Source organism: Homo sapiens, chromosome 10 (assembly GCF_000001405.40).
Source record: "Homo sapiens chromosome 10, GRCh38.p14 Primary Assembly".
Classification (NCBI taxonomy): domain Eukaryota; kingdom Metazoa; phylum Chordata; class Mammalia; order Primates; family Hominidae; genus Homo; species Homo sapiens.
In genome coordinates, this window is record NC_000010.11 from 123,520,201 (window position 1) to 123,542,257 (window position 22,057).

The 22,057-nt window shown below is 43.0% G+C and overlaps 1 long non-coding RNA gene across 9 annotated transcripts in view, besides 3 other annotated features; it reads left to right on the forward strand.

The window, feature by feature from the left end:
* The window catches only part of LINC02641 (long intergenic non-protein coding RNA 2641), a 214,291-nt gene that overhangs the window by 172,278 nt on the left and 19,956 nt on the right, over window positions 1–22,057 (forward strand). For all 9 annotated transcript variants that reach the window (XR_007062326.1, XR_002957104.1, XR_002957105.1 and 6 more), the window contains one exon: window positions 3,652–4,204. This is a non-coding gene — a long non-coding RNA (long intergenic non-protein coding RNA 2641). The remainder of the gene's footprint in view (window positions 1–3,651; window positions 4,205–22,057) is intronic.
* Window positions 18,547–19,112: an enhancer, noted in NCBI's record as "OCT4-NANOG-H3K27ac hESC enhancer chr10:125298263-125298828 (GRCh37/hg19 assembly coordinates)". NCBI's record gives its function as "activates a minimal SCP1, AML or CMV promoter by ChIP-STARR-seq in primed H9 embryonic stem cells {active_cell/tissue: H9 hESC(primed)}" and the evidence as "EXISTENCE:reporter gene assay evidence [ECO:0000049][PMID:30033119]".
* Window positions 18,547–19,785: a biological region, named in NCBI's record as "MED14-independent group 3 enhancer GRCh37_chr10:125298302-125299501".
* Window positions 18,586–19,785: an enhancer, noted in NCBI's record as "MED14-independent group 3 enhancer chr10:125298302-125299501 (GRCh37/hg19 assembly coordinates)". NCBI's record gives its function as "activates an origin of replication core promoter dependent on BRD2, BRD4, P300/CBP and CDK7 cofactors, and independent of MED14, by STARR-seq in HCT116 cells {active_cell/tissue: HCT116}" and the evidence as "EXISTENCE:reporter gene assay evidence [ECO:0000049][PMID:35650434]".

The window sequence follows — 22,057 nt, forward strand, 5'->3', positions numbered from 1 at the left end:
GCTTTCTAATGAGGGGTGCCCAGTTTTTAGACATACATTTCAGAAAGTGCAGATGCTGTTGAGTAGAACACAGCTTCCCCACATGGGAAGCCACCAGAGGTGGGGACGGTGGGCCTAGAAAGTCCCTGACACAGGCCCCAAAGCCAACTTGTTTTCTAGGTAACTAATGGCGACCCCTCCCCATGATGCTTTCCCAGGAGCAGTCTCCCCCTGCCCCCCCCCCCTTTTTTTTTTTTTTTTTTTTTTGAGACGGAGTCTTGCTCTGTCGCCCAGGCTGTGGCATGATCTTGGCTCACTGCAAGCTTCACCTCCCGGGTTCATGCCATTCTCCTGCCTCAGCCTCCCGAGTAGGTGGGACTACAGGCACCCGCCACCACGCCAGGCTAATTTTTTGTATTTTTAGTAGAGATGGGGTTTCACCGTGTTAGCCAGGATGATCTTGATCTCCTGACCTCGTGATCTGCCCGCCTCGGCCTCCCAAAGTGCTGGGATTACAGGCTTGAGCCACCGTGCCCGGCCTGCCCCCACTCTTTGTTGTCCCAAGTCAGAGGCGCTGCCGATATGGGTTCCTGGAGCCAGCACCCAGGGCTCCCCGGTCTTCCCGAGTGCCTTCTCCACCTGCCTGATTGCTGCTCACCCCTCCCCCAGGCTCCAACAGATGCCAGGCTTGGAGGTTTGGGCAGCACACCATCTTGCCATCACCCTCCACCTCCATGGTGGCTTATTCCAGCCAGTGCAGCCCCATTCAGTGGCACTGTCACACCTGGTGAAAGCAAGAGGCAGCCCTTGCTGAGAAGCAGACCGTGTGCTGTCTCCGTGCACCAAATACTCTCTAGCACCTCAGTCACTGCCCAAGGGTTCATTCAATTCCAAAGCCAGAATGAGCCTTGGAGGTTGTCTAACCTGACCCATTCATTGCACAGAGGGGGAAACTGAGGCCCAACATAGGCAGTGACTATCCAGGGATCCAGCTTGAGGCAGCTCTAGGATTAGACTCAGGCAGCCTGAGTCCTCTGGCTGTTGTCCTCCCAGCGCTGTTCTCCCCTTCCCAGGGGCACATGGGCCGGTGGGGACAGCTGCTAGCTCGCCTCCTGCTGGGTGGTGGGGAGACAACCCATAACCACCCAGGATCCCATCCCTTCCTATTTTCAGCCAAAGAGATTCCAGCCTCCACAAGGGGGTAGAGATTTCCATCTGTTGCCATTTCCCCTGAGTGCATACCCAGCTCTGTTCTGTACTGACCAGGATATTAAGAGGAGCTCAGTGAGCAATAAATAGAATGTAACCTGCTTCCTAGCCTGGGGGTCCCTTAAGTTAGGCTTCCAATCCAAATGGTGACTAACTCTGGGCTAGGTGGAGTCTCTGTCTCATTTAAGGGGAGAGGAAATTGGGGGTTGGAAAACCCATCACGCATCCCAGTTTTTAGTGCAGCTGCTGCAGCCGCCAACCTAACCAGCTCAGAGCTTGACCATGCGGGGCCCCGGACACCATAAAATGTGTGGTCTCTGTCAAGTGAACTGTGGCAGAACCAAGAACTTTGCTGCCTGCGTCTCTTCACTGAATGGCATTACTCCCTGCTCCACAGGCCCCTGAAAGCCCCCAGGCCTGCTAAGGGTAGCTTTGCATGGACAGGCACAGAGGGAGACACGTCACCCTCCCTGTGTCTTCTGTGCAAGGGCCCAGGTTGCCAGGCCTGAGCTGGAAACTGAGGCTCTGTAGAGAGCATGACCCAGACTTTGTCTCAAGGGACCTGAATTCTCAACAGAGGAGCCTGATGGGTAAACAAGATAAGGTCTTAAAATTTGCAACTCTTCTGTGTGGCAGGTATTTTCTTCCCATTTTATTTCTTCATCTACTCTTTCAATCAATATTTATTAGGCACCATTATGTGACACATGCTGGGCTGAATCCCAGGGATGGAGCCTCCTTCTTACCTCCCCTGTGCTCCAGCTCCACACCAAGTGCATATCTTCTGAGCCTGGCAAGCCCTCCTCTCTCCAGGCCTTCACAGCCACTGACTCCTTTTATCGGACCACTTTTTGTCCTCCCCACCACACTTCCCCACTTGGCAATCTGCGAATCACTTTTTTGAGACCTATCTTGAAAATCCCTTCTTGTGGACTATGGTGGATGTCCTGGCAGAAGCATGCTCCCTGGCTGTCTCTCTTCTCTGAATGACATTACCCCCTGCAAGATCAAGCACTCACGGTGTTGTTTTGTGATTCTTTACTTGTTTTTTATTTTATTTTATTTTTTTGAGACGGAGTCTCGCTGTGTTGCTCAGGCTGGAGTGCAGTGGTGCTATCTCGGCTCACTGCAAGCTCCACCTCCTGGGTTCACGCCATTCTCCTGCCTCAGCCTCCTGAGTAGCTGGGACTACAGGACCCGCCACCACGCCCAGCTAATTTTTTTGTATTTTTAGTAGAGACGGGGTTTCACCATGTTAGCTAGTATGGTCTCTATCTCCTGACCTCATGATCCTCCCGTCTCAGGCTCCCAAAGTGGATTCTTTACTTATAAACCTGCCTCCCACTACGAGCCTGTGATGGCTGATACTGCACCTTGAGCCATCTTTGTATTCCCAACACTCAGAACAGAGCCGTGCATTCAGGAGTTTCTTTATCTATGTGACGGTTGAATTGAATATCCTACTGCACACCAGAACCCTAAACCCTCACCTCCTTCTGCTCCAGTGTGCAACCATATGCAAATTCAGTGTGTCAATGAGATAGACATCTGCTTAAAAGTAAGATGAATGTGTGTCAGTAGGGGGCAATAAAAGTGGGGGATTGAGAAAGAAAGAGAACCCAGAGCCAAAGACCCCACAAAACCCAGGCCCCGTGACTCTCGAGTACCTCAAATCCATGGAAGCAAAAGGTTCTGAGGGCCTCCTGGCTCTACACTTCCTGCACAGCTGAAGCCAGCTGGCGAGGTGGCAGCTCTCTCTCACCTGTCAGAATTTCAGAACCTCATTATGACAAGCACCACTTCCACCCCACGTGCTCCTGGTGTCTGCTGGAACTGCTCACTGACAGTGCTTAGGTCCAGAAGAACTCGAAAATGCTTAATTGGTTAAACGAACGAGTGACTGATTAAGGAATAAAATCCAACCTGAAACAGTTGACAAAAGTAAAATGATGACTCTGTCATGTAATGATATAGGAAGACTAATGCACAGACATCTGTGGAGCTCCAGGATTTCAGGAATGGGTCAAGCCATAGACGCCACCAAGCTCTCATTTTAAGGCCATGGAATCTAAAGTCCGGGGAGGTTGTGACATTTCCCCAAAACACATAAAGCTAAGTTCATTCATGTATTTAATATTTGTTGAAGGTCTGTTATGACCAGGTACCCTTTTGCATATTTGGCATGCAACAGTGAATAAAACAGACAAAAATCCAGGTTCTCATGGAGCTTCCATTCCAGCTGGGAGAGAGAGACCATCAACAATAAACATAGTAAGCCACATAGCATGTTAGGAGGTGATCAGTGTAGTGGGGAAAAAGTAGACCAAGGTAAGGGGCCTAGGAATGTGTTGTTGGGGTCGAGATTACATATTGTAATTGGCAAAGAGTGGCAGTTTAAAAAGACAGAGTAGGATAAAGATTTTTAAAGGAAGTGAGAGAATATGGAGTTTTTTTACCTTGCAGGCATATTATGAATATTCAGTGAAACAACGTGTGTGCTCACCAGGCAGGAAGAGCTCAGCAAATGGTGGCTGGTCTGGAAATTATTGTCATCACTATAATCCTCATCGACATCCTCAGCCTTATTGTCATCATCATCAACCTCATCAGTGTCATCATCAGCCTCATCAACGTCATCATCAGCCTCATCACTGTCATCATCAGCCCTTTGTCATCATCATCATCCACCTTGCTGTTCTCTTCCTTGTTGACATCATTATCCTCATCCTCCTCATCACCATCAACAGCATTATTTTTATTTTTTATTCTTCCACCTGTAAGAGTTTCTTTTCCTCCCTCTTATTGTTTTCCTCTTGGGATGACTAGTGGTGAAGGAAGTGTCAGAGGCAATGACCTCACAGCTGTCGTTGCCATGGGTGACACCTCCCAGAAAGAGCTTATTGGAACTTTCAGTCCAGGGGAGTTTCTGCTGTTCCAGGATGGAGGAAATGTTCAAGAACTGTGGAGCATCTGAGATTTTTTTCCTACTTTTGATGTCCACCTAGTCAAAGTTCAGGTAGGCTTATTGTCTATTATAAAAGCTCCAGGTTCCCAAAGCTTGGCGAAATCCCGTCTCTACAAAAAAATACAAAAATTAGCCAGGGTTGGTGGTGGCTTGCACCTGTAGTCCCAGGTACTCAGGAGGTTGAAGTGGGAAGATCGCTTGAGGCTGGGAGGTGGTGGTTGTGTTGAGCCAAGATCTCACCACTGCACTCCAGCCTGGGTGACAGAGTGAGACCTTGCCTCAAAAACAAACAAACAAAAAACCAAAGATTTTTTTAAAAAAAGAATTAGCAAAAAAGTGTGTGACAGAATCATTATTCATTTGGTGTTTATTGGTTATTTAGGGACTCTGAGGGTAAGAATCCCGGCTCATCACTTAGGAACTGCTGTGTTTCTGCCATCTCAGGGAGTCTGTTTAGTTCTCAGCTCTAGTAGTCTTGGCTTTGATCCCTAGCTGTTCCACTTTTCCAAGGGTGTAACTAGGCAATTTGCTTTGCCTACTTCCTTATCCTTTTTTAAATTATTATTATTATTATTGTTATTATTTTGAAATGGGGTCTCACTTTGTCACCCAGGCTGGAGTGCAGTGGTGCGATCGCAGCTCACTACAATGTCTGCCTCCTGAGTTCAAGTGATTCTCCTGCCTCAGCCTCCCAAGTAGCTGGGACTACAGGTGCACAGTACCATGCCAGGCTAATTTTTGTATTTTTAGTAGAAACAGGGTTTCACTGTGTTGGCCAGGCTGATCTCAAACTCCTGATCTCAAGTGATCCGCCTGCCTCAGCCTCCCAAAGTGCTGGGATTACAGGCATGAGTGACCGTGCCCAGCCTCTTTATCCTTAAAATGGGACTCACGATGGTATTCACTTTAGAAGGCTACTAGGAGGACCAAATGATATAATGTCTCAACAGTGCTTAGCTCCATGCCTGGCACATGGCAAGGACTTGGTTGATGATGGTAAAGATGGTGGGGATGATGATTTTCCACAAGGAAAAACATGAGTTACAGGAAACCAGCTGGAGATTGGTGGCTTCACCAGGTAATAAGCTGTGATTGGGTCCTCTGATGCCAGAGATGGAGATGGAGAGATTTTTTTATTCTTCAATGTAGTGGTCACATTGGGCCTTTAGGATTGAACTCTGTTTCAGAATTTAATATCCCAGGATTTGTTTACATATGTCTTCAGAAATCATGTCACACTCAAAGCCTCAATGAGAACTCTTTTTTCTAGAAATCTCTATTAAAACCCCAAAGTTGAATCAGGGTATTATATAGTCCTTAGATATCACATTGATATGTGTCCTACTAAGGATTAAATATGTCATGCAGACCCCAGTGTAGACATATAGTTTCATAAACCATATACCCAGAAACCCTAAGAAAATAGAGATTCTACTTGTGTGAAAAGTCCACTCAACATGCTAAATATTTCCTGTGTGTCTGTCATGAGCCAGGCAATGAATGTGATGGGCAGTACAGTGGATCCCCAGTCTGCATGATGCAGGCTCTCTCCCAGGGAGCTTGGAAGTGCCCTTGATCTATAATTCATATGGAATGTAGAATGCAAATGCCTAGAGAGGCTAAACAAGAAGATATACAGAGAGAGAAAGAATGAGAATGAGAATATCATAAGGAGATCATGAATGGCATCCTGAAGGTGCAGGCAGAGGGGCGTTTGGCGGGGCATTTGGCAGGGCCTTGAAGAACACGGTGAATTACAAAAAGCCAAGTCTTAGAGCTGATCTGGATTTTAATCCCAACTCCACCTTTGTGACCTTAGACAAAATGATTTAACCTTTAGTGCTTCTCTTGTGCTTTTTTCCCCATTTGTAAAAAGAAGATGTTAAAACAACCTTGTGGGACCTTGTAAGGGTCAATGACTAAAGTGGTTCACATGCTTGGCAAGCACTAGGATCAATAAATGGTATTAAAAACATTGTGAGCAAAAGTCTTAGGTGGGGTTCCCGGAAAGCATACTGTCAGATGGAGGTTTACTGGGAATGCTCTTGGGAACAACGCCTGTGGGCTACTGGAGGATGCTGAATTAGGCAGATGGAGGAACTGAACTGTGCTGCAGTCATGACAGAGGACTCAGCCCATGGCAGGGAGCTCTGGAGCTGGGGAGCCCTCCAAAGTGATCCTGAATTGAGGCAAAAGGGCTGGTCTTGTGCCACCTTATCAGCCAGTTTCTGGACGGGAACTGCCCCTGTGGAGAGGATGTAACTCTGGGCAAGGCAGTTCCCTTGGCAGAAGGCAAGTCCAGGAGAGGGCCTCAGCTGTGAGCCGTCAGCAGCCAACACTCCTAGAATCCAAGGGAATGAATGCCTTGGTCCTGAAGGAGCACACCACAGCACACCACAGTGTCCACTACAGCAGGGGAAGCTCAGTACATTAGAATGAGATCCATCTCTTCCAGGTATTCTATTACTTCCTCTGAGGCCTAGGCCTGACTGAAATTCAGAGACGCCTTCACCGTTGGAAAGAGGAAGCTTTCCTCTGCCCCATGAAGACAGCTCTGGGTGGCTCTGGCCTCATTCTGCATTCAGGGCCTCCTCACTTACCACTGCTCCTGAAGATAGTCAGCCCCTTCTGCTTCCTCCCTACTTTTATTCTTACTTGTGACCTTTTTACTTTCTTGAAAGGATCGAACAGTAGATATCAAATAGCCAAGTGCTACTTCTCAAAGAGAAGTAGAGAATCCCTAGAAAGACCTTGAAATCACATGAGCTCAATTGCAGGTCACATTTCCAGGGCTGGGGCTGGCAGGGGTTACTGGCCTCATCTAGATGGTCCCAGGAAAGAGTTGTACAATGACCTGCACAATTAAGGCAGTGTTTGAAGCCAGTCTGAGCTAGCCCTGAATTTGACTTGTTCCATCACCCAAGGTTTCTGGACAGTTCCTTGCTCTCTGTAAGTACACAACCTTCTTCCCCATTTCTCTCTCTGCCACTGACATTTAGAAATTTGCACTCTTCCCCTCCTACCTAACTGATCCAGGGCTCAGGGGAATTCCAGGCTTCAGGCTAGTCTGCCCAGTGATACCACATTTATTTACATGGAATGTAAAGAGAAGTCCACTGATTGCTATTAATAACTAAACAAAGTTATCCTGGAGACACTGCAGTTTCTGGCCCCACCCAAGGCAAAAGAACCAATGAGGACTTTTTAAAAACATTACTTTTTATGGGTATATAGTAAAGGACTTTTTAAAAATGAAAATGAACCCATTGTTAGCTTTGATTTTGTGGGTGCCAAAGTCTAAGGTGTTTTGGGTTTGTACTCAGTCTGAACGAGGATTTTTTTTTGCATAGTTTCCCCTTTCTAACACTATTGCATTAATATTTAGCAATTTGTACTAAGGTAGAAACTGTCAATCAAGAGTAGTTCATTTTTTTTCTTTTCTTTTTTTTTTTTTTTTTTTGAGATGTAGTCTTGCTCTGTCACCCAGGCTGGAGTGCAGTGGCGTGATCTCAGCTTACTGCAACCATCCACCTCCTGGGTTCAAGAGATTCTTCTGCCTCAGTCTCCCAAGTAGCTGGGACTACAAGCCTGTGTCACCATGCCTGGCTAATTTTTGTATTTTTTGTAGAGACGGGGTTTCACCATGTTGGCCAGGCTGGTCTCGAACTCCTGACCTCAGGTGATCCACCTGCCTCAGCCTCCCAAAATGTTGGGATTACAGGCATGAGTCACCGTGCCCAGCCAAGTAATTCATTAATAGTGAAATAATGCTGGCCTTCACCCAAGAAGAACTAAATCTCCCTCAGGACAACTTTTTGCTGTTCTTTATAGCAATTATCTTCAGAGTTAACAGTAGCTCTAAAATAAAGAAATTTCTCTGTTAGAACCACCCCCAGATATTCAGATACAGACCCCCAGCTGTGATTCTAAATGCAGAGACAGACATTGCTCCCCTTTATTTTTCCATGCCCCAATAATTATTGATTAATGAAATTGGCAGCTGAACTACAGGGCTCCTAAAAAAGTGCTCAGAGTATATCTGAATGTTTAGCTTTAAGGATGCTCCTTGCAGGGTTCTTTTCATGGCAAATATTGGAAACAACTTAGATACTCAATAACAGGAGATCTGTTGAATAAACTGTGGCAGATATATTCATTAGAAGATTACGCAGCCACGAAAATGATATGCACGAAAATGATATTGCAGAAGTATATTCCATGCCATGAAAATCTCTATAGTATAGTATGTGCATATTTGTAAATATGTATATATATATGTGTGTATATATATACATATACACACATACTGTGTATACATACACACATATATGTGTGTGTGTGTATATATATATACACACACATACTGTGGCTGTATAAATAAACACATGATCTTAGGAGAGACCTTGCACAATGTCAGTCATTTTTCCTTGACAGCGAGATTGCTGGTGAGTTCTATTTTCTTTTGCTCATCTTTTTCATTCTAATTTTTCAGCAATACACATATATTTCTTACGTAATTAAGAAGTAAAAGGTTATGAAATGAGTGCAGAGGAGGAGGAGGTCTCCTTCCTGTTGAAATGTGGGCTGTTGACATAAGGAGCACCCAGTTTTTATATCCCAAAGCCCCAGCCCCTCATTATGACCACCCTGCCTCCCATGAGGTCCGCAGCCAGCGGCCTAAGGTGGCCACATTTGTGTGTTATGGACAGGGACGGAAGTGTGGCAAAGGGCAAAGACGTTTAGACCTGCCTCTACCTTCCGGGGCGAAAGCAGGAGGTAGCGACTTGCCCTCTCTGAAACTCCATTTCTTGGGAACCCCAAACTTGGGGCCCTTCTGGAGTTCTCCGTGATTCTGAGCAGCTGGAACATCTCTTCCAGAGCCTCAGAGGGAGGGTGTCCTGGTGACTTTGCCCCCAGAGGCAATGCTGCTCCGTCCTGTGCTGCTGCAGTCCTTGAGGGGTGTGAATGCTGGGCATAGGACAGGACAGGCCACCTACCCGGGACTGGCATCCCTGTAGGGTCCCCGGCTCTCTGACATCCACAGAGGCCAGGTGCCGACCCCCCCACGGCCCAGTGTCCTCCTGAAGGCATGCATGTGCCTCTGCTTTAGGGCATAGAATGGGGTGGACGCCAGCCAGGGCTGGTGGAGGTGATGACAGCACTGACTATCTGCAGATCTTGCTTCGGCTAAGGTTGCGTGGTTTGCAATTAGACGAGAGGTCTGGGGGCCTGGGAGATCATTTCCTTCAGCAGGTTATCATTTGGGCAAAATCAAGGGCTTGTCAGCCTTAGCACAGGCTCTGCCTGCTCCCTCTCTGCACCCCCCTGCCCCTACCCAGGCAGCCCTGGAACTCTGTGCCCCAGAAACTCAGGCTGCCAGCTCTTCTGTGGGACCTCAGGCCCTTGGTATTCTCTGAGCAAACTGTGTTGTGCAATGATCCCTTCCTGGAGACATCTTTCCACAGCACTTTTCCCATCCCTGAGTCTAGTACTCCTCACCCCTCCCTCCCATCACATATCACAGTTTGTGATTATCCATTTATTTGTATGGCTGTTGGTCACTGTTTCCCCCACTAGACGATAAGACTAAGTATTGTTCACACTTGTTTGCCTAGCGCCTAGCACAGAGCCTGGCACATAGTAGGCTCCCAATAATGAAATGAAAGCATGCATGTATGCCTGCATGATCAACACACGGCAGCCATCAGGAACATTCTAACCTTCAGAATGGGACCAGCTCTCCTGGACATGAGTCCAGGTTCAGCAAATCAGCTGTGTGATCATGGACAAGTTGACTGACTGTTCTGAGATTGTTTTCCCATCTCTTTAATGTGGATGCAAATAGCACTTTTCTCTTTCTTGCTCTTTTTTTTTTTTTTTTTTTGCCTGTCAGCTCATACCTAGCAAATAGCACTGTTATCATAGGGTTGTAATGAAGAGTCAATGAGATGAGGCCTGCAAAGCATCTGACACAGAGGGAGCATACAATGAATGAGCGTCTTTATTATTTTGTCCTTTGAGCTTCTTCCAGCCAGAGCTGGAGGTCATCCTCGGTTATAAAATCTCTTGATTTCCTCGTAGATCTGGGCCTCTCCATCTGCCTGTGTGTCACTTCTTCCTCCCCACTAGTGTTCCTGGGCTTAGGGGGCAGACGAGAAGAAAGCGGGCATCCCTCTGCTCTAAAAGGTTCTGCTTTTAGATGATAAACTGCAGGGGGAGAATCCAGTTTACTGGATACGACTTAGAACCTGTTGTGGGTCTGTCGGCATTCTATCTGGGATGTCAGTGTGGGTGAGCAGAGAGGGGAGCTGCTCCCACAAACCCCACCTTGTGGAACCCCAGGTATTGCAGGAAATGTGGCTGTGGGCTGCCCCCTTCCTGAAGCAGGCTCCATGCAGGGCTGACTGCTGCGATTCAAGAAGGGACCCAGACAGGTTGTTGTTTCGGTCTGGATGTTACCATGTGGTGTCACCTCTAAGAGGGAAATCAGACATTGGAGAAACTTGATTCAGACACAGGCACACAGGGGCACAGACATTGGCTTCTCTAGTCCATTAACAATTGGGTGCATTTAAGAGTCTGCATCAGGCCGGGTGCAGTGGCTCACACCTGTAATCTCAGCACTTTGGGAGGCTGAGACTGGAGGATCGCTTGAGGCCAGGAGTTTGAGATCAGCCTGGGCAACATAGAAAGACCCCGTTTCTACAAAACAACAACAGCAAAGCAAAACAGTCTGCATCTAACTCCTGGATTCTGGTGGTACTCAGAGAGGTAAAGCACCTGGCACACAGTCACACAGCTGCTGGTTGGCAGAGGCAGCGCTTCCAACCAGTCTGTGTGCTTCCAAAGCTTTCCCAAGTAATACTACCTCTATGATCCGCATTTCCACTTCAAGTTTACCTAGATGCCAGTTTTTTAAAAACATAAATTTTTTATTTTTTAAATAATTTTTACTTTCATTTTAGATCCAGGGGGTATATGTCCAGGCTTATTACCTGGGTATGTTAAGTGATGCTGAGATTCAGGGTATGGATCCTGACACCAACTTAGTGAGCACAGTACCTGATAGGAAGCTTTTCAACCCCCACCTGGCCCCTCTTCCTCTAGAGCTTCCCAGTGTGCATCGTTGTCATCTTTACGTTCATGTGTACTCAGTACTGTACTGAGAACATGCAGTATTTGGTTCTTGCATTAATTCGCTTAGGATAATAACCTCCGGCTACATCCATGTTGTGCAAAGGACATGATTTTGTTCTTTTTAAGGCTGCATAGTATTCCATGGAGTTAATGTACCACATTTTCTTCATCCAGTCCACCGTCGATGGGCACCTGGGTTGATTCCACGTCTTTGCTATTGTGAATAGTGCTGCGATGAACACACGCAAGTTCATTTGTCTTTATGGCAGATGATTTATTTTCCTTTGGGTATATACATAGCCATGGGATTGCTGGGTCAAACAGTAGCTGTTGTAAGTTCTTTGAGAAATCTCCAAACTGCTTTCCACAGTGGCTGAGGATTACATTCCCACCAACAGTGTATAAATATTCCCTTTTCTCTGTGGCCTTGCCAGCATGTTATTTTTTGAGTTTTTAATAATAGCCATTCTGACTGGTGTGAGATGGTATCTCCTTGTGGTTTTGATTTGCATTTCTCTGAGGATGAATATTTTTCGTATGTTTGTTGGCTGCTTGTATGTCTCTTAAAAAGTGTCTGTTCATGTCCTCTGCCCATTTTTAAATGGGCTTATTTGTTTTTTGCTTGTTGATTTGTTTAAGCTGAAAGCTAACAAACTAGTTCTGGTTTTAAACTTGACAACCAATTGGGCCTAATAGATATCTACAGAATATTGACCTAATGGATATCTACAGAATATTGCACCCAACAACCACAGAATATACCCTCTTTTCTCTCATCTGCGCATGCAATATATTCTAAGATTAACCACATGCCAGGTCATAAAGGAAGCCTCAATAAGTTTGAAAAAATTGAAATCATACCAAGTACACTCTTGGATTACATTGCAATTAAAACATAGAAATCAATATCAAGGAGATCTCCCAAAACTACACAAATACATGGAAATTAAATAACTTGCTCCCAAATAACTCCTGGGTGAACACAAAATTAAGGGAGAAATAAAATTATTTGAAATTAATGAAAATAGGGACACAACTTACCAAAATCTCTAGGATGCAGCTAAAGCAGTATTAAGAGGAATGTTTATAACACTAAATACCTTATCAAGACATTAGTAAGATCTCAAATTAACAGTGTAACTTTGCACCTAGAGGAACTAGAACACAAGAACAAACCAATCCCCAAACTAGCAGAAGAAAAGAAATAACTAAAATTAGAGAATGAACAAAATTGACCTGCAAAAATCCATACGAAAGATAAATGAAACCAAGATTTGATTTTTTAAAGAATAAACAAGATCAATAGACCACTAGCTAGATTTACAAAGAAAAAAAGATCCAAATGACAAAGATGACATTACAACTGATCCCACAGAAATACAGATCTTCAGAGACTATTTTGAATAACTCTATGCACACAAATTAGAAAACCTAGAGGAAATGGATTAATTCCTAGAAATGCACAACCTCCCAAGATTGAACTAGGAAAAAAATCGAAATCATGAACGGATCAATAACAAGTTCCAAAACTGAATCAGTAATACAAAATCTACCAACCAAAAGAATGTTCTGGACCAGAGGAATTTACAGCTGAACCCTACTAGAGGTATAAAGAAGAACTGGTACCAATCCTACTGAAACTATTCTAAAAAATTGAGGAGGAGGCTCCTCCCTAACTCATTCTATGAAGCCATCATCAGCCTGATACCAAAATCTGGCAGAGACACAATGAAAGAAAACTTTAGGCCAATATCTCTGTTGAGCATAGACACAAAACTTCTCAACAAAATATTAGCAAAACTAATCCAGCAGCATATCAAAAAGTTAAATCAAGTGGGCTTTATTCCTGTGATGCAAAACTGGTTCAACATATGCAAATCAATAAATGTGATTCACCACATAAACAGAATAAAAAGCAAAAACCATATGATCATCTCAAAAGATGAAGAAAAGGCTTTTGATAAAATCCAACATCGCTTTGTGATAAAAACCCTCAATAGACTAGGCATTGAAGGAACATGCCTCAAAATAATAAGAACCACCTATAACAAACCCACAGCCGACATCATACTGAACAGGCCAGAAGTGGAACCATTCCCTTGAGAACTGGAACAAGACAAGAATGCCCACTCTCACCACTCCTATTCAGCATAATAGTGAAAATTTTAACCAGAACAATCAGGCAAGAAAAAGAAAGGGCATCCAAATAGTAAAAGAAGAAATCAAACTATCTTTTTTTTGCTGACAACATGATTCTATACCTAGAAAATCCTAAAAACTCTGCTGAAAGGCTCCTAGAACTGATAAATGACTTCAATAAAGTTTTTAGATACAAAATCAATGTACAAAAATCAGTAACATTTCTATACATCAATAACATTCAAGTTGAGAATCAAATCAAAATTTGTTTGATTTTTTTGTGGTTATTTGCAACAACCACAAAACATTGAAATACCTAGGAATACAGCCAACCAAGGAGGTGAACTATCTCTGCAAGGAGAACTACAAAACACTGCTGAAAGAAATCAGAGATGACACATATAAATGGAAAAAAATTCCATGCTCATGGATTGGAAGAATAAATATTGTTAAAATGGCCATACTGCCCAAAACAATTTACAGATACAATGCTATTCCTATCAAACTATGAATGTCATTTTTCACAGAATTAGAACAAAAAAAATTCTAAAATTTATATGGAACCAAAAAAAGAGCCCAAATAGCCAAAATAATTCTAAGTAAAAAGACAAAAGCCATAGGCATCCCAGTACCCAACTTCAAACTATAAGGCTACAGTAACCAAAACAGCATGGTACTGGTATAAAAATAGACCTGTAGACCAACAGAACAGAATAGACAATCCAAAACTAAAGCTGTATACTTACAACCATTTGATCTTTGACAAAGCTGACAAAAACAAACAATGGGGAAAGGACTTCCTGTTTCGTAAATGGTGCTGGGATAACGGCTAGCAATAAGCAGAAAATGAAACTGGACCCCTACCTCTCACCAAATATAAAAATTAACTCAAGATGGATTAAAGATTTAAATGTAAGCCCTCAAACTATAAAAATCCTGGAAGAAAACCTAGGAAGTACCCTTCTTGACATTGACCTTGGCAAATAATTTTTGGCTAAGTCCCTAAAAGCAATTGCAACTAAAACAACAATTGACAAGTGAGACCTAATTAAACTAAAGGGCTTCTGCATGGCAAAAGAAATTTAGAGTAAACAGAAAACTACTGAATGGGAGAAAATATTTGCAAACTATGCATCTGATGAAGGTCTAATATCCAGGATCTGTAAGGAACTTAAATCAACAAGTTGGATACCAGTTTTAATGGCTTACAGCTGTAAGTTCCTATATTCAGTCACCAAGTTTTCAACACCAGGTTCTGGCCAAAGTGCCGAAAATATGAAGATGAACAAGTCTGACAAAGAAAATCTGGCTAGGGTGGTAAAATTTTCTAGGGAAGTCACAAGGGGGAGGGGGCGTGTAAAACAGGTGGAAGATAAGGGTTATGTCATGAAGTAGGTTTATTCAGGTCCAGTGTAGCCTCTAATTCCAAGTTTCTCGTGATAAGGGCTATTTTCTAACTGTTGTATAGAGACGATGTCCCTTCAGAAGCAACTTTATTATTGCCGCATGCAGGAAGAAATAGATCAGCTAGCCCTTTCTGAAACTACAAGAATCTTGGTTTACTAGCAAAATTATATCCAAGTAAAACACTATGCCACTTACCAGTACTTACAAATCTATGTGTCTCAATTTTATTCATTTATTTTTTCAATGAGTGTTTATTGAGCATCTGCTTCTTGCTGTACACTGTGCTGGCAGCTAGGGATACAGATGTAAGCAAAAACCAAACAGCATCACACCCATCCTTATGGGACTTAGAGTGGGGAGACACATCAAATAAACACACAAGTCAGCGTATTAATTATAACAGAGAAACCAGAAATTCGATCTAAACAGGGGGAAGGAGTCTTCCTTGCAGAGCAAACATGGAGCCGAAGTCTGGAGGCTGAGTAGGATGTAACTGGGCAAAGAGGGGAGGGCAGAGCATTCCAGGTAGGAGGTGGGCTGTGGAAAGGTCATGGGGCAGAGAGAGTGCATGTTAGGACCTGTGAGAAGGCCAGGAGAGAGAAGTAGAGAGGAGGGGGCAGTGCAAGAAGAAGCAGGACAACCCAGCAGGGAGTTTTGTTTTTATCCTTAGAAAAATGAGAAGCGGCTGGGAGCCATGGCTCACGCTTGTAATCCCAGCACTTTGGGAGGCTGAGGCAGGCAGATCATGAGGTCAGGAGTTCGAGACCAGCCTGGCCAACACAGTGTGAAACCCAATCTCTACTAAAAATACAAAAATTAGCTGGGCGTGGTGGCGGATGCTTGTAATCCCAAATATTCAGGAGGCTAGGGCAGGAGAATTCCTTGAACCTGGGAGGTGGAGGTTGAAGTGAGCTGAGATTGCGCCACTGCACTCCAGCCTGGGCAACAGTGCAAGACTCCGTCTCAATAAAAAAAGAAAAAAAATGAGAAGCCATTTCAGGATTTTAAGCCAGATAATGATATATTAGATTTCAATTTCCAAAAAATTACCCTGATTATAGTGGACTCCAGACTAGAGGGAGGCTGGAGGGGGCAGGCCACGTGGAGACTCTAGCAGTGTCCTGATGAACAGAGATGGCAGCCTGGAGTCAGGTGAGGGTGGGCCAGGTCGAGTGAAAATGACATGCTGGGGAGAGATTTAGGAGGAGGGGTAGACAAGGCTTGATGAGGGATCAGTGGAGGGGTCAAAGGACAGAGGCCTATCGAGGATAATTCAGACCTTTCTTATCTTGGGGCTCAATGAGTGGTTGTCCAGTCAGTGAGACATGGAAGATGACCAGGTCAGAAGGGGAGACCTTGGGTCCTGCTTTGGAGATGTTGAATGTGAGGCTGGCTTTGAGAGATCCAGGGAATTGTGGATATGTGGCCTGCAACATGGAGCCTGGAGAAGTGTGCTTGAGAATCCCCCTCTTAAGAGGTGCTCCTTGGGCCCTCAGTGCTCCTTAAGCCCTCAGATGCATGAGGTTGCCTAGAAGTATATGACACAGAAAGAGGTAAGGATGGAGGAGAGGAAGGCCTGAAGGACCCTGACACTTAGGAGAGGACAGGCTTGCAAAGGAATAGAGCAGGAGAGACCAGAGGTGATACTGAAGGAGTATTGTGCCCTGGAGGGCAGAGCAAGGGTGATTGAAGGAGGATGTGATCGGCCGAGGAAAAATGATGAATGAAGAATGCCCTTTGGATCGAGTGACTGGAAGGCCAATGGAGACTCAGCGAGAATTGTTTCAGATGACAAAGCCTGAGGCTCTGAGAAAAAAGACGATTCAAGCCATATGCTAAGAAAGGGCTGACCAAGACTGACACCTGGGTTTCCTTCAATCTTTCTAACAACCTTCAGGCAAGAATTTTGGTAGGAATCATGGTCTATGGAGCTGCAGGGTTGGTTTTATCTCTTCCGCAAAAATGCAGTCAGTCGTTTCCCGGTATTGGTTCCAGGATCCCCCAATATCAAAATCCACAGATGCTCAATGTCCTTATAGAAATCAGTGTAGTATTTGCATAGAACCTACACTCTTCCTCCCGTAGACTTTAAATCATCTCTAGATTACTTGTAATACCTAATACACTAAGAATGCTATATAAATAGTTGCTATTCTGTATTGTTTAGGGAATAATGAAAAGAAATGTCTAAAATGTGGGGCAGGAGGTCAGCAAGAAAGCTTCCTTCCTGTGCCAGCTTGAGGAGTCCTTGGGAAGCCACCAGCACTGTTGATAATGAGGACACTTAGATGCCAAGTGGCCTCTCGGGTCTGTCTTCTGCTAATAAGACTAAAGAGGGGAAGTGTAAAGAATTTGCACCCCAATCCTCTGGTGGGCTGGGGCAGGATGCAGCCACACTCTTCTTATTTCTATTTTGTATTTTTGTTTGAAGAAGTCATCTCCCAGATGAAAAGTCAGTTTGAAGGCACACTGGGGGTTTGTGGCATGAGTTTGTCAACTGCTGGAGTAAAGAGCTCTGATAGATGGATAAACAGCCTTCTGGTTTTTTGAAAGCTGTTTTCAGTTCCCTTCCAGGATCTGCGCTTGGGAAGAAATAAGCCACCCCTCAGAACCTCAGAAGATTTACTTCAACATCTGTAGAAGTATTTTAATTTCTTCCTTGAGTAGGTTTGGCTTGGCCAACTGAAACTGTGGTTAAACTATTTTTAATCATGTTAATAAGAAAATTGTCCTGCCCAGAACAGGAAAGCGTTGTCTGTTTTTATTGTGCTGCATAAAAATAACTGTCTCCAGCCTTCTTGTTATGTAGTGGGCGATGACATACATTATTTTACTTAGTCCTCCTCCGAGGAACTCAGTAGGCGGATGATCTTAGTTCATTGGGGCTGCTTTAGCAAAAGACCACAACCTGGCTGGCTTATAAACAGCAGACATTTATTTTTCACAGTTCTGGAGGCTGGAAGGTCCAAGATCAAGGTACCAGCAGATTCAAAGTCTAGTGAGGGCTCTCTTCCTGGTTCATAGATGACCCCTTCTCAAAGCTCTCTGGGGCTTCTTTTATTGTGGCATTAATTCCATTCATGAGGGCCCTGTCCCCAGGATCTAGGCACCTACCACAGGCCCCATCTCCTAACACCATCACACTGGGGATTAGGTGTCAACTTATGATTTTGCAGGGGGCACAAATAATCAGGCCACAGTACAGATAGAATTGTCTATTTTGCCCCTGAAGATACTTTAGCTCTGAGAAATGAATAAGGTGACTGGTTTCACTGGGAGGTGGGAGGAGTGCTGGGAGTGAGGGGAGGAAATACAAACACGATGGAATGTACTACCACCCCTAGGAGAACTCACCGTTGAATGTAGGGATTCTTGACTAGCAAGGCCCTTGGAGATCAGCTGGAGCAATCTGCTCATTTTATAGCTAGGAAAGGAGGCCCAGCAGGAGGGGACGGTGTGCCCAAGGCTGAGAGTGTGGTGAGTGCTGGGTTCCTCCCAATACCCATTTCCACCAGGCAAAATGTCCCAGCATCCCTTGCAGATGTGGCCATGCAACTAATTCTGGCCAGTAAGACATAGATCTCCAGGAATTCTGAAAAAGAGAGGAGTTATGCCCCATTTGCTTTCTAATGACCCCACCACCACCGCCCCATCCTGCTGCCTGAAGTGTGAAGCTTCAGCAACATCTTAGCCCAGAGGGACTGGGCAGCCCCTGGGAATGGAGGAGAGGAGAACTGGAAGGAGCCTGGATCTCTGTCGACTTCACTGAGCTTCCCTGGACAGGGCTCTGGATTTACTTTATGTGAGAGAAATCAGCCTCGATCTTGCTTTTCTGGGGTTTTTTGTTCCATGTGGCTAAACTTGCGTGGAGTTAATAGGAGACTCTGAACTCCTGCAGGGACCTTGATGAGTGTTAATCGCTCCCTAAAAATGGCAGTATCTTCCTCTCTTTTTTCGAAGAGCACCAATGCTTTCTTCTGCAATAGAAGTCAAATGCATAGTCCCAGTAAACATGCCCAGGCAAGTAGCTCCGATATTTAACCCATCCTCCCCACCTCGCACACCTCACTCAGCTTCTGCTCCCAGTGACCTGTTTACTGCCCTTCCTGCTCAGACGAGACCCAGGGTTCCTTTCCTCCCTCAGGAATATGCAGAAATGGTGATTGGGCGAGTGGTTTACTGTAGGAAGGGAAATACCAGTGTGAAACACCTATATTCTCTATGCCCGTGAAAATCCCAGAGGGATTAAAGAGTTCAGTGGTTTGTTGTTGTTGTTGTTGTTGTTTTTAAAAAACACAATATCATAAAAAGGAACTAGAATTACAATAAACATTTAACAAAATTTGTAAATGAGGAGGGATTTCTAAGTTCCGATTTAATGAAGAAAAAGGGGAAAAGAGTGAGATATTTAATTACTAAAAATAAAATTTACATGTGGCAAACAAAACCAAATCAAAACCAAAACTACTTAAGAAGAAGTTTCCCAAAATATGACAAAAGATTGTGAGATTTAATATACTGTGCATTCATTCAAATTGATAAGAAATTATCATGATCTTGTCTTTTGAAAAACAGATAATTACAGCCCTTTAAAATACAAATGACTGGTATGCACTTTGAAAAATGTATTTAAACTTACTTTAAAAATCAAATAGGTAAAAACTAAAACGTCAATGAAACAAATTTTAACATCGAGCTAGCACTTTAAAATGAGAGTTGTGGGGCTGGCAAAGGTGCAGAGAACTGTGAAATCATATATGTACTGATAGAAACTGGCCCGATCTTTTCTTTTGGAAAGCAATTCAGCAGTATCTAAAATATTCATATGCATTCAATCAGTAGTTCCACTTCTGGGAATGTATCCCAAGGAAGTACTAAGGAATGTAAAAGAAAAGCTTTATGATCGGAGATGTGTACTGTAGTATTCTTTATCAGAGAAAACAGAAAAGAAGCTACAAAAATATCCAGTTCCTGGGGAATATCCTAAAATTCCCATGAACCAAGGTGGAATAAAAAATAAAAAAACTTTAAAATAAAAAATTCTAAAGTTTTTAAATAAAAAATTTAAAAACTAAATAATCAGATCAAAAACTACTGTATACTCTTTGTTATAAATCTTTTGAGAGTTTTCCTTAAAAAGCTTTTTGAGGTATAATTGACATACAATAAACCACACTTCTAAAATGTACAATTTGATGAAGTGTGGATTTATGTATACATTTATGAAACTCTCACCACAATCAAGATATTGAACACATTAATCATCCCTCAAAACTCTCCTCTTCCTTTTCCAATCTGTCCCTCCTTCCTTCCCAACTCTGTTCATCCCCACGCAACCACTGATCTGCTTTCTGTCACTATGCTTTCCAATTTCTAGAATTTTATTTGCAATTATGCCGCATGGACTCTTACTTGTCTGGCTTCTAGCTTATTTATCTAGCATTTAATGATTCTGAGAACCATCCACACAATTGTATCTCTCAATCGTTCAAGTCTTTTAATCGCTGAGTAGTATTTAATTACACAGGTATACCACAATTTGTTTATCCTTTCAGATGTTGATGGACAATTTGAGTTGCTTCCAGTTTTGAACTATTACAAATAAAACCACTACTAATATTCAGGTGCAAGCCTTCGTAAGGACATATGCTTACATTTCTCTTGGGTAAATAACTACTTAGTGGTGGAATGCGTGAGTCGTGTGGTAGACATATGTTTAACCTTTAAAGCAAGCTGGTTGTCCAACCCAGGACGGCTTTGAATGCAGCCCAACACAAATTCGTAAACTTTCTTAAAACATCATGAGTTCTTTTGTGATTTTTTTTTAACTCATCAGCTATCGTTAGTGTTCGTGTATTTTATGTGTGGCCCAAGACAATTCTTCTTCCAATGGGGTCCAGGGAAGACAAAAGATTGAACACCCCTGCTTTAAAGAAACTGCCAAACACTTTCCCAAAGTGGGTGTACCATTCTACATTCCCACCAGCTGTGCATGTCTGCTCCACATCCTTGCTAATAATTGGGAGGGTTGGTCATTTTTAAATTCAGACATTCTAATAGGTGAGTAGTGATATCTCATTGCATTTTAAATTTGTATTTCCCTAATGACTAATGATGTGCCTTTTTATGTGCTTATTTGCCATCTGTATATCTTCTTTGATGAATTGTTTTTGAAAACCTGTTGCACATCTTTTAAATTGGGTTGTCTTCTTATTATTGAATTTTTGAGTTTTTTTTTTAAACTATATATTGTGGATACAACTCCTTTATCAGATATGTGATTTGCAAATACGTTCTCCAAGACAGTGGCTTGTTATTTTGGTGTCTTTCAAAGAGCAGATGTTCTTAATTTCAGCGTAGTCCACTGTATCAGTTTTTGATTTTATAGATTGTGCATTTTGTGTTGTCTCTAAGAAATATTTGCTTAACTCAAGGTCACAAAGATTCTCTCCTATATTTTATTCTAGATGTTCTATAATTTCAGGTTTTACATTTATCTCTATGATATCTTTTGAGTTAATTTTATAGAGTAAAAGGTATGAATCAGTTTATTTTTGCATATGGATATCCAATTGTTCTAGTATCTTTTGTTCAAAAGACTATCTTTTCTCCAATCGTCTTTGTGCCTCTGTTGAAAATCAATTGACCATATACACATGGGTCTATTTCTGGGTTCTGTATTCTGATTCATTCATCTATTTGTCGAGCTTGAACAATGCCATCATGTTTTAGTTACCATGACTTTATAAGTCTTGAAGTCAGGCAATGTAAATTCTCCAACTCTGTTCTTGTTCAAAGTTGTTTGGCTATTCTCAGCCTTTTGCATTTCCATATGAATTTTAGAATTGTCTTACAAATTTCTACAAAAGAATCCTGTTGGAATTTTGATTATATTGAATCTATAATCAATTTAGGAAAAAATAGATAACAATATCGCATCTTCTGATGTGTAATCTCAATACAGCTATGACTTCATTTAGGTCTTCTTTAACTTCATTTAGCCATGTTTTCAGTGTACAGGTCTTGCACATATGTTATCAGATTTATCTATAAATATTTTATGTTTTTGTGCTATAGGTAAATGGTATTTTTAAATTTCAATTCCCAATTGTCCATTGCTGGTAAATGGAAATACAATTGACTTTTGTAATTTAATCTAATATCCTGTAACCTTGCTAAAATAACTTATTAGTTAGTCCTAATAGCATTTTTTGTAGATTC